Raw genomic sequence first — 14,083 nt, 5'->3', positions numbered from 1 at the left:
GCTGGGATCGTGCCATTGTACTCTAGCCTGGGCAACAGAGCGAGATTCCATCTCAAAATAATAGTAATAATGATAATAATAATAATAATAATAATAATAACAATAATAATGGGACGGGAGATATGGGGAGAATCTACTTGTCTTTCTTACTACTAGGCCAATGATGTAGAAGCGCCATTCTCTTGCAGAAGCAGGAACTCTAAGCATAAAGTGATAGAGGAGCTCCTAAAAATCAATGCCACTTTCTCCCCTTCTGTGGCCTTTCCTTCATATTGTTTCTTTGGACACAAGAATTCTGTTTGTGCCTTATACAGCTTCTGCTCTTCTAGATTCTAATAGGGTGCCTGATGTAAAGGAAAAACTTTAATTCTTCAAGAGTTGGGTTCCATAAATCAGCAGCCACACTTCACCCTCTACATCCAGGTATCTTCCCCCTCTTATGTCAGAACAGTCCTATTTGCTTTGAGAGCTCTAGAAGTCCTACCATGCTGAAAGCATCACAACCCTGGCCTCTGCTGGACATTTGATGGCACACGGATGTGCCATGGCCCATACCCAACACTGCACCACAATGCTGTGCTACCCCTGTGGCAGCATGAGTCCTGAGCCAGGGGAGGCAGCTGTGTGACTGTGGGAGCCACTGATTCGACATCTCCTCATTCATGAAATGACAGATGAGATGAAATCACCATCTCTACATTTCTCAGCCTAGATCTCTGATTTGATCTCTGGCAAAGCACGGAAAATGTGGAAGATAAGCTACTAAGGACTTACACATTATTGACTTTTAAGATTCACAGACAATTTCGGATTTGGAAGTTATTTTTGAAATGCTATGCCGTTGAAAGTGTTGGCATTTTGCATTACATAACTTCACAGTTATATATGTGTAGCTACAATGAGAATAACAAACTGTCAAATTAAGGTTCTAGGATGATAAGTTGTGGTTACTTTTGTCTCAGTCAAAATGTCATGTTAACACCAGATCTTATTCATTCATGGAGTTTCGTAATACCTGATATGGCTACCCACCCCCTCCTCTACTACCCTCTTCTTTGTTCTCTCTAGTCTCCTGGTTATCCTGCCCCTTCACCACCTCCTCTTCTTCTGTTTGAGTTCCTCGTCTGCCTCTCCCCTGCCCCCTCTCACTGTGACTATCTGGTGCTCTCTTTCTATACACAACACTAGAGTGAGCTTATCCACCCCCAAGGTGTCTGTTATCCCAAATCTACAACCCTAGCTCGGATCCCTGGTTGAGCTTCAGAACCATTCATTCATTCACTCACTGTGGACGCACGTCCCTCAGGTGTTCCACACTCAGTAATTCCATCTTGAGCTCATTACCTTCTCCCCAAACAGGCTTCTCTTCCAGTGGGTACCTAACTTGAGGAATAACATCAGCACTCACCAGCTGCGGGAAGATGCCCTTGAGTTGACTCAAAACTAGATCTGGGCTGGGCATGGTGGCTCATGCCTGTAATCTCAGCATTTTGGGAGGCTGAGGCTGAAGGATCACTTGAGCCCTGGAGTTTGAGCCTGGGCAATATAGTGAGACTCCATTTCAATAAAAAACCAAACCAAAAAACAAACCAAAACCAAAACCAAAACCAAACCAAATCAAACCAAAACCCTAGATTCGGAGCCTAAACCTAATTGCCTCAAGTGCTAAACAAAAGACACTCATGATGAAGGTCCGAATGGGTGGGAGGGGACTGTGGCAACACTGAAGGTTACAGGCCAGTCTAGGGAGGGTGCAGACGCTTAACTCCAGCTGATTAGAACCATGTGGTATCACAGGCTCAGGCTGCCAAATTGGAGGCTTTTGTGAAAGAAGCTAGAAAGTTGTGTTTCAACTTGAAACTTCTACATTTTAAGTGTGGATAATCAATCAAATTTAAAACAAAACAATGTAAATGAAACAAAATATGCGGCCGAGGGCAGTGGCTCACACCTGTAATCCCAGCACTATGGGAAGCCAAGGCAGGTGGATCACCTGAGGTCGGGAGTTCGAGACCAGCCTGACCAACATGGAGAAACCCTGTCTGTACTAAAAATACAAAACTAGCCAGGCGTGGTGGCACATGCCTGTAATCCCAGCTACTTGGGAGGCTGAGGCAGGAGAATCACTTGAACCCGGGAGGCAGAGGTTGCGGTGAGCTGAGATCGCACCACTGAACTCCAGCCTGTGCAACAAGAGCAAAACTCCATCTCAAAAAAAAAAAAAAATGCTCTTTAGGCTGTTATTTTGCAATCTCTGTTCTTAATCTATAGTATCTACTTTTATTCAAGAACAATTTTTTTTCAGAAATAAATTGAATTTTAACTTTTGGAAATCCAGTTCAGCTAGTCACAGCTATTTGTGTAAAAATTTCAACAATTTATGTACCTCCATCTTTACATTAATGTGTGTATTATAAACGCACTAACCAAGCTGATGGAAAAACCTTTAAGAGACCCAAGAATATTTCCCTGAGAACTAGTTAGTCAGCTAAGATCCCTTTTATTTTATCAGAAAAACTGTGCAGGTTGTAAACTACTCATAACAATCCATTACTTTCTGTGATGTTAAATCCGGTGTTGTGTGTCTGAATGTGCAAATGTTGCAGAGCACAGACTGAAGGCAGAAGGCCTGGCCTCGGATGACCCGGTGTTGAATCTGTTGACTCTTGTGGCCTTCCAGCAATTATAACTCGACTTTTGGGTAAACACATCAATTTCCATGACAGCTGATTCTATCACATAAAATAGATGAAATACATTTTTCATTTAAATTGGTTTTCATAATTATAAGATTTTCAAAACCAATCCGTGGGAATGGTGAAACTTTCATAAAAATAATTGCCTCAGCATCCAACTTATTTGCATAATTTGTTTTGTTTGCAAAGACCTGAGAAAATTCACATAGAACAATTTCTTCTAGTAAACTTTCAACTTTGGAACTTTCAAAATTTTGAATAAATCTCCACCTAAAGTAAGGCAAGTCAACTTTCTCCAACACCATGCCTGTATGCCTGTGAGTATAATCCCAGCTTGTCTGTTGAATACAAAGCAGTAAGAATGTTGGAAGAGCTGGCAAAGATTATGCTGGAAACTAAAGTGAAATTACCTCTACATACATTGGTTGGGCATATGGTGTTACTTTGTCTTATAAGCACATAGACTTAAAAACAGGCTTTGATATTAACTTATTCACAAGTAGAAGAGCTTCTATAGTTGCAAATGATAATGACATTTGTGTTTAACCACACCTGACTCTGCTATATCTCATGATTTTCTTCCATGGAATGGAGATGGCAAGAGAGACCTTATTGTCCATTTTGCAGAAAAACAAGGTCATGCAACAGTGGTCTTCAGTGTGTTAGAATCTGGCATATAACACAGTTGCTTGTATATTTTAATTATATTGTAGAGTTTATTAAAATGTGACAGCATATGTAAAAGTGAATTATGAATAATACACTTGGCACATTCTACTCACCAATGAGGTACATGCCAATCCAGTCCCCAGCGTCCACTTCCTCCTTTATGTCCCAGTGGATGACCAGGTCCTGAGAGTGCCCGATGGAATAGTAGGAGCTGCTGACCATGAGCGTGGAGCGGCTGTCCGAGGTGACCAGGTCAGTGTCGCTGGTGGAGCGGGGAATGGTGACGCCATCGTGGGGGCCGCCCCTGAGGTCCATGTTGTGGAACTGGTCGGGGTTGTAGCTGTATCGGAGCGGCTCCTTGCACCGGCGTCGGCTCTGGGAGTTTCTAGAAGGAGACGCCATGGCGGCCAGGCCTAAAAACCTGTTCTGGTACAGATTCTGTGGGAGCAAAGAGACAGTGAGCAGGGTCAGGGCACGCCGGCAACTCAGTCACCGTCATCACACGAAAACGAAAGATGTGCTGGGAGACACGCGCTGTGAGTGAGCTGCCCTGCTGGGCAGATATGAAACATGGCATAGAGCATCTTCCTCGTGACAAAGGCTGCAGCTCTGGGTTCACACGGGGACAGCAAGAACAAAAACACAAGTGCACCAGGGTGTCCTGCGTTTCCATGTTTTGTTGGAGTCTCTGCCTCTCCCGGCTCTAACCCACTTGATACCAGAAGGACTGGGATGTGCAGAATGACCCTGAAGGTGTGACTATTCCCCAACCAAATGCCATCCCTCGAGTTCTCCAACGTCAATTAGATTGGATCTGATTTTATCCTTCTTTAAGGCAAACGATGATTATCATTATTAACCTCTGAGTGATCCCTGCAGCATTCAGGTCCCTACACACAGCCCAGAATTAGGAGTGGTCCCTGCTGGGTGAGGCAGTCACTCCTCCATTTACATCTTTCACTCTACAGAATGCCTTCGGGCTGTATGAAGTTTCTATGAAGGATTTCAAACATCCTAGTACTCTTTGAATACGATGATTTTCAATAAAATCCAATCTCAGAGGACTGTATCTCCCTTGGAGCCAATGTTATTGTAGAAAACATTGTACCTGATGAGAAAAAATGCATTTTTGTATTGTTTACAACTTTGAGCACTTAAAATGAGCCAACCTGATGCAGAGCACTAACTCGTTTTGGGCACAGATAACTTTGAAAATACAGAAGGACAGGCAGCAAATAGAACTCATGCAGAAACAAGCAAGGGTGATTCTGACTTCATCAAAGTATATTAAAATTGCGTTTAAATGAACATTTTTGGGGGGTCCTGGTTATTGAAGTTCATGTTGTTCTATATGTAGTTTTCAAGAAGAGAAGATTAAGGCCTAAAAAAGTGTTGACTCATGAAGTTTAGATCCCAGGAACTGTAACTTCTTATGCACCTAATCAAATGCAAATTATTGACTTTTTGTTTACCAGCTATGATGAGCAGACCACAGCAATAGTCTACTCTTTCAGTTAGATCAATCTAGTTAGCAGTAATTTAGGCCTGCACTTTTTCCATCCTCCAAGACCAGGATGTTGTAAAAAGTCTATTAGCCTGAGAAAGCACAGCGTTGGCATTCTGAGTCTTGGTCCTCTATGGCCATGGGGCAGGCAGGCCCTTTCACTCATCTGTGTCTCCTGTTTGGAATTCCTTTGGCCCTACTGATGGTTGCTGCAGAATTATGACAGGCAGACAAGACAGACTCCAAAAAGCATCTCATCACCTTATTGGGGCCATATTTCTTATTTTTTCAAAATGCTTGTCACTATAGCAGTATGAAAATAGATGGACCATGGTGTTGCCTGGAAACCATCCCTCCTCTCAGGAAGACTGGCAAAGCGCTGAAGGCCAGGGAAGCAGGAACCACCCACCTATCTCAAGGCACCATGGCTATTCTGGGCAGTTCAGGGAGGATCTCAGTAAACTGACAGCCCTCCAGGAGGCTCTGTCCAGAGACCTTTGTAAAATCCCCAAACAGAAAGGCTGCTGCAAGAGCACAAGGTTTGTTTAGTTCCCACATACTTTAAGTGGGCTAATACCATCTTACAGTATTACAGAGATTCAAAATAATTATGAATTAGACCATAATCAAAGCTGAGGCAGCATCTACCAGCTTCCCAGCTGTGGGTCTATCACTGGACAATTTAATCTTTCTGGACCTCGGTTTCCTCCTCTGTAAATGGGCTGTTGTCAGAATTTAATGAGACAATGCAAGTCAAGTTCTTAGTACAGTACCTGCTCAATAAATAAAAATCTCTTGCTAAGATATTACTGGTAATGCTTTAGGAAGGAAACCTCACTGAGACATAGGGCCTGGGCACTCAGCCAGGCTCCGTCACTGAACAGGCTTCCTTCATGTCACCCCAGAGTCCTCACTCTTATGAACTTGCATTAAATTCAAGAAACCTTCAGGTTTTCTTACAAAATCAAAGTGCCAAGGGTTACACAGCCTAGTGTGTTTGTAAAGGTGCTCTATATACTGGTGCTCAGGGGAGAGGCTCCTTTATTTGTAAGGTTTACGATTGAGTAGGATATATTTGCATTCATGATGAAGAGCCTAAGATAAAGATTTTTATGTACGTGGTTTCAATCAGGGCCTCAAAAGGATTGTAGGGTCTTTCTCTTTTGCTGAAGACAATTCTGCTATTGTATTTTTACCAAAATCCCCTGGAAACTAGAGAACTCTCCTGAAACTGTCAAATTACGCCAGTGATCACTGTCCACATGGTGAGAGCAAAGATAGAGAAGGAAACATTAGTCAAAGAAGACGTTTGTCAGTGATTACTGGATTGGAACGATGACATTTGTCCGGGGTAAGCAGGGCAGCCTCAAAGCCGTCCCTTGCACCCCACCCTCTCCCACCACCCTGTCTTTGCACACATCCTCCCCATTCCTACTTGCAGGCAGGATCTGCACTTCTGCATCAGAATTATGCTCCAGCACCAACTCTGCTGTAACCGCTCCTTGCCTCCTTCCCATTCCCAAGAGTGGAACTTTCTGCTCCATGATGCACAGGAATCCCATTCCCCTGCAGGGATTCTTAGGTACTGTTGCTAGTTGATCTGTCCATGTTCACTCCTACACTGTGAAGTTTTCTCCTCTGTATATCCCCTGTACCTGGCATAATTCCTGCCATGAAAAGCCCCCAAAGCTTTAATTTATAGAAATTATTTTATTCAGTGATATCCCTTCTTGTTCCAGAAAGGGTTTAAGATGGCTTATAAAAATAGATAAAATGGCTGGGAGTGGTGGTTCAGGCCTGTAATCCCAGCACTTTGGGAGGCTGAGGCAGGTGGATCACTTGAGGTCAGGAGTTCAAGACCAGCCTGGCCAACGTGGCGAAGCCCCGTCTCTACTAAAAGTACAAAAATTAGCCGGGCGTGTTGGCAGGTGCCTGTAATCCCAGCTACTTGGGAGGTTGAGGCAGGAGAATTGCTGGAACCCAGGAGGCGGAGGTTGCAGTGAGCCAAGATTGTGCCACTGCACTCCTGGGCAACAAGAGCGAGACCCCGTCTCAAAAAAAAAAAAAAATTACAGAAAGGCATGATAATTTAGTAGTAGATGGTACATAGAAGAAAATAAAGATATGAACACAAAGTTATGTAGGAAGGAGATGAACTTAAAATTGTATTCCATCATGTCCTAAACAGATGTTTTATTAAAGACTCACAACAGTTGCTCCTTTTTATTTTTAATTTCCCAGCTTTATTGAGGTATAATTGACAAATAAAATTGTATGACTTTTAAGGTGTACAATGTGAAGATTTTATATATATATAAATATATTATATGTTATATTATATATAAATATATCATATAATATATATAAATATATCATATAATATATAAATATATCATATAATATATATAAATATATCATATAATATATAAATATATCATATAATATATATATATTATATATTATTATATAAAAATATATCATAATATATAAAAATATATATAAATATATTATAATATATAAAAATATATTATATATAAATATATAATATATAATATAATATATTATATATAAATATATTATATGTTATATTATATATAACATATATAATATATAATATATTATATTTATATATTATATGTTGTATTATATATAATACAATATAATATATAATATATTATATATACTGTATATTATATATTATATATTATATGTTCTATAATATATAAGATATACAGTATATATAATATATAATAATACATTTCACTATATGTGTGTGTGTATATATATATATATATATGTGTATATATATATATATATATAGTGAAATGATTACCACAATCAAGTTAGCTAGCACATCCATCCCTCACCTATTTACCCCATTTTTATTTTATTTTGTTTTGGTTTGTGGTGAGCACATTTGAGCAAATGTCAACAGTTGCTTCTTGAACACAGCAGGTGGATAGAGCTGATTGCTCAACATGCAATTCGTTTGTGGCTATGTTTCTCCCAGACATTCACAAGTGTTTCTAGCATATACTATAGACTCATCAGTCTGGAAGAAGCAATTTAATCATTCTCTCTTCACATCTGAACTGTGGGAGATAGATGAAGCTCTGTCCTGTTTTTAAATAGCCCTGGATAAAAGGCCACTGTCTTCCTAGACAGTGATTCCAATGTCTTACAACTCCACCATTCTTCCTAACCTCTAAAGCAGATCTCCCCAACAGGAGACCTCCTTTCTCTTTCCTCTCTGCAAAGGGTGGCCCTCCCAATCTCTGTATGTATGGGAAATCAACGGATATCACTAAATTTCTCCCAGCCTTTTCTCCAACCCACTAATAACTCAAGTATCTTTTGTCTTCTTTTCCCTTTGGTGATAGACAATATGAACTGATAGGAGGACCACAAGAATATCAGCAATAGTTTCAATAACACTGTAATTTTCCAGTTATTGGTTGTAATCACGTGGCCCTAGTTACGGGCTATGTCAAGCATAGATTTTAGTTGACGCTTGAAAAAATGGGTCTGATAAGTGAGCCTCTGAGAGCAATTTAAATACACTGTACAAAGTGCCCTGCTATGGGAGTAAAAACCATCTGCTGGTTTTTTTGTTTTTGGTTTTTTTTCCTATTTGTAGCAGAAGAGCCACCAATGTTTTGTTTATTTGTTTTGCTTTCCAACTTAAATGACATCGTAATTGTTGAAATGTTTTGAATTAAGTGATGTGCTCTTTGTTGTTTTTCTTTTTTTCTTAATCTTGGAATAGGCCTTGTGGGTTTAATATGTTTTAAGATAGTCTCATGGAGTATAGCACATTAACAAAAACAAAACCTGTAAAAAAACAGAATCTTAAAAGCAGAAAATCATCACTTCTAGGGATGGAACATGTTATTATGCATGGATTTTTTTTTTAAGAACCTGGAGACAAAAGATTCTGCTCTGTCAGTTTTTATCTAACTAAGTCATTAATAGCATTTCTGTCTTGGAATATAAAGCCGTGAGTGAGTGCCATCTCAGAAATGAAAAGAAAGCAGACAAAGGCATGTCTATAATAGAGAAAATGACTCTTAAAAATGGCCTCTACACCAAGGAATCAAAAATTGTAAGCGAAATACACAGCCCTTGAAGGAAGCTTCATTAAAGTATATAAGATGAGGTTATAGAAACTGGCATTACTTAGTTGGAAGAAAGAACGTAATACTTTTTTAGTCCATGAGCAGATTTTACTTTGATCAAGAAGATGCCTGCAGCTTTTGCTATCCTACACTCGGCTTTGTTACGCCACCAGGTGGGTAATGGGATTTAAAAAAAAAAAAAATCAAAGCTTATCTTTTTCTACAAAGGATTTGAGAAAATTTACAAACCAAGAAATGTATAATAAAATAGGAAAATACAAAACAGACAGAAATCAGGAAGTAGCAATATGAAGGAAGACAAAAATAGTTCTGAGCATTTGCTCTATGCAGCGGACTGTTGTACATCTCATTAAAACATTATCAAGGCCAGACATGGTGGCTTATGCCTGTAATCCCAGCACTTTGGGAGGCTGAGGTGGGTGGATTACCTGAAGTCAGTAGTTCAAGACCAGCTTGGGCAACATGGCGAAACCTCGTCTCTACTACAAATACACAAAATTAGGCTGGGCAGGGTGGCTCACACCTGTAATGCTGGCACTTTGGGAGGCTGAGGTGGGCGGATCATCTGAGGTTGGGAGTTCGAGACCAGCTTGACCAACATGGAGAAACCCCGTCTCTACTAAAAATACAAAATTAGCCAGGCGTGGTGGCACATGCCTGTAATCCCAGCTACTTGGGAGGCTGAGGCAGGAGAATCACTTGAACCCAGGAGGCAGAGGTTGCAGTGAGCCGAGATCGTGCCATTGAACTCCAGCCTGGGCAACAAGAGCGAAACTCCGTCTCAAAAAAAAAAAATTAGCTGGGCGTGGTGACGGGCGCCTGTAATCGCAGCTGCTGAAGCTGTGGCAGGGAGAATCGCTTGAACCCGGGAGGTGGAGGTTGCAGTGAGCCGAGATCATGCACTGTACTCTGTGACAGAATGAGACTCTGTCCCCCCCAAACAACAAACAACAACAACAACAACAACAACAACAAAACACTATCCAGTTTCACTATTCTCAGGTTGCTAGAAAACCCAGCTCAGAATGTTAATAAAAATTCTGAGGTCATCCATCGTGTGGCAGGAAATGGGGATTTGAGCCTGTTTATGGGCGATTATAAGAGGGCACTTTTATCATTCTTAAGCATTCTCTCCAAATTATAAAACAGATGGACAGAATTGCAGTAATTGAGATTCAGATACTTCTCTGAGCTTCTCGGCAGCCAAGAAGATAAAAGGAAAGCTTAGTTCTTATGATCAGAATACAGGGACTTTTTTCTTCCTCCAAGTTCTTAACGAAATGTTTCATCTTAGACTTTCTGTAGGAAACACAATGAAATGTGGTGAGTAAGATCTTAAGAGACTTTTAATCACGATTATAGTGGCAGATTCCTGGTACAAGGCTTTGACAAAAGCCAAGGTCATCGCAGGAAGAGAGTTCATTAGGGACTGAGCGACTGTGCTGTGTTGCCTTCCGACCACATTCCAAAGTCTACCTGGCTCAGTCACTTCTAGGGGAAGCTTTACCCCAAAGCTTCCACTCTGAACTCAGTGACTGTTCTCAGTCCCGCAGCTTCCTCTCTGGCCTCAATGGAGATTTCGATCAGAGCCTGAATGAGATGTTCTGTCTAAAACTGCCTTACCTGTCAACTTATTTTTTGTCAGTCCCCTCTACTTAGAAGGCAGGCACCAAGACAGCAGCCCAGCCTAGCTCCTTTAGGTCTGCATTTCCAGCAAAAGTAGTGCCTGGCAAGAACATAGATGATGCTCAGTAAATACTTTGTTGAGGCTGGGTGCTATGGCTCACGCCTGTAATCCCAACACTTTGGGAGGCCAAGGCGGGCATATCACCTGAGGCCAGGAGTTTGAGACCAGCCTGGCTAACATGGTGAAACCCCGTCTCTACTAAAAATACAAAAAAATTAGCCATGTGTGGTGACACGTGTCTGTAATCCCAGCTATCCCAGGAGGCTGAATCAGGAGAATCGCTTGAACCAGGGAGGTGGAGGCTGCAGTGAGCTAAGATTGCGCCACTGCACTCCAGCCTGGGTGACAGAGTGAGACTCCATATCGATAAATAAATAAATAAATAAATAAATAAATAAATAAATAAATAAATAACTGTGTTGAATGAATGAATGCACTTGTGGGTAACGTGTGGGCTGGGGTGCACCTGGACATGGGGCTCTGCTCCTTGAGCTCAGGAATTCTTGTAAGCACTAGGCTTGGTGCCCAGAATTGCTCGAATTGAGTTCCTGGTTCCTGGACTGCACTGGGATGGGTCAGGTGTCCGGATGCAGGACCAGCAGAAGCACCGGGAATCCCTGAGGCAGTACAGGAGAAGTGGGGATGGCCTGGGTTGGAGGGTTTGGAGACAGGCCAGGGCAGCTTTATCCAGAGCTCTACTTGCTGCTGGGCCCTGCTGGTCCTAACAGTCTAAAAGCAGAAACCTCCTACCCAACCCAATGGCAGGCACAAGAGATCACAAAAATCACTGCAGCCCACGCATTTCCTCTGAGTCACGACTGTTAAGGGAAACAATTCGTTAGGCTAAAAAGAAGGGCTCCACCTCTCTGGGAATTGCCTTCATCACCTGTCAAATAAGAAGAAAGTGTTGGGATGAGATTAAATACTGCCCCTGGGTCCTCCTCTCCCTCTCACATCCTGAGATTTGAGTCCTGCTTACCCATTTGTACCTCTGCTTGGGAACTGCTGTGTATGAGGGATGTTGTGGGACAGGGGCGGGTGTAGGGGCTCTCAGGTGTAAGGGAGGAGAGTGGGAGGTGGCTGCTAAACCACCATCTCTGTCTAACTCTTCAGCTCCCAGACACCTGTTCCTGAAACCTGTGCCTCAATTTGTGCTTTCAGCCTCAAAGCCATGTGCTAAAAAAGCTTTCTTTTGTGCTGGCCATTGTGTGGAAGAATATCACAGAATTACATAAACTAAATTGTGTGGGCTTCTTTTCTTTGAAAAAGAAATAAAATCCCACTCATTGCTGGCTGAAAGGGAACATTAGGGGGAGAAAATTTTAATAAGCAAATCAAGCCAAGCCAGATAATATCCACACAGGAAGTCATGATTTAAAATACAAGGAACTTGTTAAAATGCCAGTCAGACACATTATTTTAGGAACACATAATGCCTTATCGCTCATAAAAAAAAATCCACCAATAAGTGTAAGGTTGAACATCCCCTCCCACTTTTGACTCTGCAGCCCTTTGATGGCAGGTGTTGGGGGGCGGGGGGTGGGGTGGTCTTTGCTCCTTGTCGCTCGCACACCATTCTCACTCACACGTAAGAGAAACCAGCTGGAGGCCAGGCTCCAGGAGGGGCATGATTGGACCATTCACTGCTTTGCTCAAGTCTAGGACTGCTTGGTGCAGCTCTGGGTTATTTGGGAGGTTTATGTTTGGAGGCGTTCAGCAGCGAAGTTGCTGAAATCTGGGTGGTTTGTATGGGCAGAGGAATGGGCAGGGGGCTGTGGGTGTGGGAGAGGGAGGAAGGTGGCAGCCAGGAGGGCCTCGTCAGGTTAGCTGGGGCAAATTCCTGTTCATAATATTTAGCACCTCCTCTGGTTTACACAGAAAGGAAAGGTGAGAACTGGTATTCCTGTGTGTGTGTGTGCGCGCATGTGTGTGTGCACGTGTGTGGGTGTGTGTGGTGTGTGTGTAAGACACAGAGACAGAATGAATGGGAACTTACAGATGTGAGAAAGAGACCCATTTTTCCCTTCTCAATGTTAGGAAATACTGTTTCTTCCTCAGGAAGGCACTAGCCTGATTGAAAGTGGAAAAGTTTCCTCTTTACCTACTGATACCTGCAGAGGAAAAGGATATGTGTTCACCTCCCAGAACCACAGTGCGGCTCCAGGGGCCCAAGGCGCCCAGCTCCAGGAGCCCTGCGGACCATACAGGAGAGAAAGGGAGGTGGAGCTGCTGTGAGCCAGCCACATCATCCTCCCGGGGCGGCCCCGTACCGGGCATTTGTGAGGAGCCCCCATGATGACCTCAGCCTCACTCCATCCTGAGCCCAGCAGGGCTTGTGCTGTGCTGAGTGGGGTCACTGTGCCTCTTCCCGTAACCAGGGCACCACCACCTGCTTGGCTACAGTCCAGTCTCCAAAAGCCAACCCACAATACTGTGAATCACACAGGAACCCACAGTGACAGTCATGGGAGGGTTCTGGGCCAGCCCCTCCTCTTATTCACCGGGAAGCTGAAGCCTGAGAAGGGCAGCTGCCTGCCCTGACCACGCAGCAGGGGAGCAGCAGGGCCCCAAGTGGACCTTGAGACTCCCTGCGGCCAGTTAGCTGCCTCATCCATGGCCTGAGCTGCCTGGCTTGGGAGGGAGCCTCAGGCTTGTTGAGAAGCCTGAGGAGCCTCAGGCTGTTGTAAGCCAGTGTGTTTCCCTCCTCCATTCATGGTCGTGTCCTCATTTGCCTGCTATTAGGTGATGGGGCCAGACAGGGATTACAGTTCTAAGAAATACACTTAGGAGGGTTTCAGATGCAGTGCTGAGTTTGTATCCTCATTGAAATTAATACTCAAAAGCATGTTATCATTTGTCATGGAGGATCAAGGTGCTGTAAAGATGCTCTCTTTTAAATTCTTATATCCCCTGGGTGGTTTGACCCAGCATCTTTGGGTTTATTTTTAAGTAAATCCTGTCTTTGGTTTTATTCTCCTGCTTCTTTTTTTTTTTTTTTTGACAGAGTTTCCACTCTTGTTGCCTAGGCTGGAAGGAAATGGTGCGATCCCAGCTCACTGTAACCTCTGCCTCCCGGGTTCAAGAGATTCTCCTGCTTCAGCCTCCCGAGTAGCTGGGATTACAGGTGCGTGCCACCGTACCTGGCTAATTGTTTTGTATTTTTAGTAGAGAAGGGGTTTCACCATGTTGGCCAGGCTGGTCTTGAACTCCTGACCTCAAGTGATCCACCTTGACCTCCCAAAGAGCTGGAATTACAGGCGTGAGCCACTGCATCTGGCTTCTTCTTCCTTCCTTTAGCCCAGTCAATCAGGAAATGTGGATGGAGTCTTTAGTGTGTACCAGGCCTTGTGCTAAATGCTGAGTATGGATACAGAGAGGACTTAAACAGTGC

General features: G+C 42.9%; 1 protein-coding gene across 17 annotated transcripts in view, besides 1 other annotated feature; it reads right to left on the bottom strand.

The window, feature by feature from the left end:
- Window positions 1–14,083, bottom strand: part of HECW1 (HECT, C2 and WW domain containing E3 ubiquitin protein ligase 1) — a 453,355-nt gene that overhangs the window by 250,436 nt on the left and 188,836 nt on the right. For all 17 annotated transcript variants that reach the window (NM_015052.5, XM_017011883.3, NM_001287059.2 and 14 more), the window contains one exon: window positions 3,479–3,803. In NM_015052.5, coding sequence (NP_055867.3) covers window positions 3,479–3,803 — 325 coding nt within the window. The remainder of the gene's footprint in view (window positions 1–3,478; window positions 3,804–14,083) is intronic.
- Window positions 10,840–11,340: an enhancer, noted in NCBI's record as "H3K27ac hESC enhancer chr7:43343825-43344325 (GRCh37/hg19 assembly coordinates)". NCBI's record gives its function as "activates a minimal SCP1, AML or CMV promoter by ChIP-STARR-seq in primed H9 embryonic stem cells {active_cell/tissue: H9 hESC(primed)}" and the evidence as "EXISTENCE:reporter gene assay evidence [ECO:0000049][PMID:30033119]".

This window comes from Homo sapiens, chromosome 7 (genome assembly GCF_000001405.40).
Source record: "Homo sapiens chromosome 7, GRCh38.p14 Primary Assembly".
NCBI lineage: Eukaryota > Metazoa > Chordata > Mammalia > Primates > Hominidae > Homo > Homo sapiens.
The sequence above is the reverse complement of the archived record's forward strand: the minus strand, read 5'-3'. Positions and strand labels throughout refer to the sequence as shown.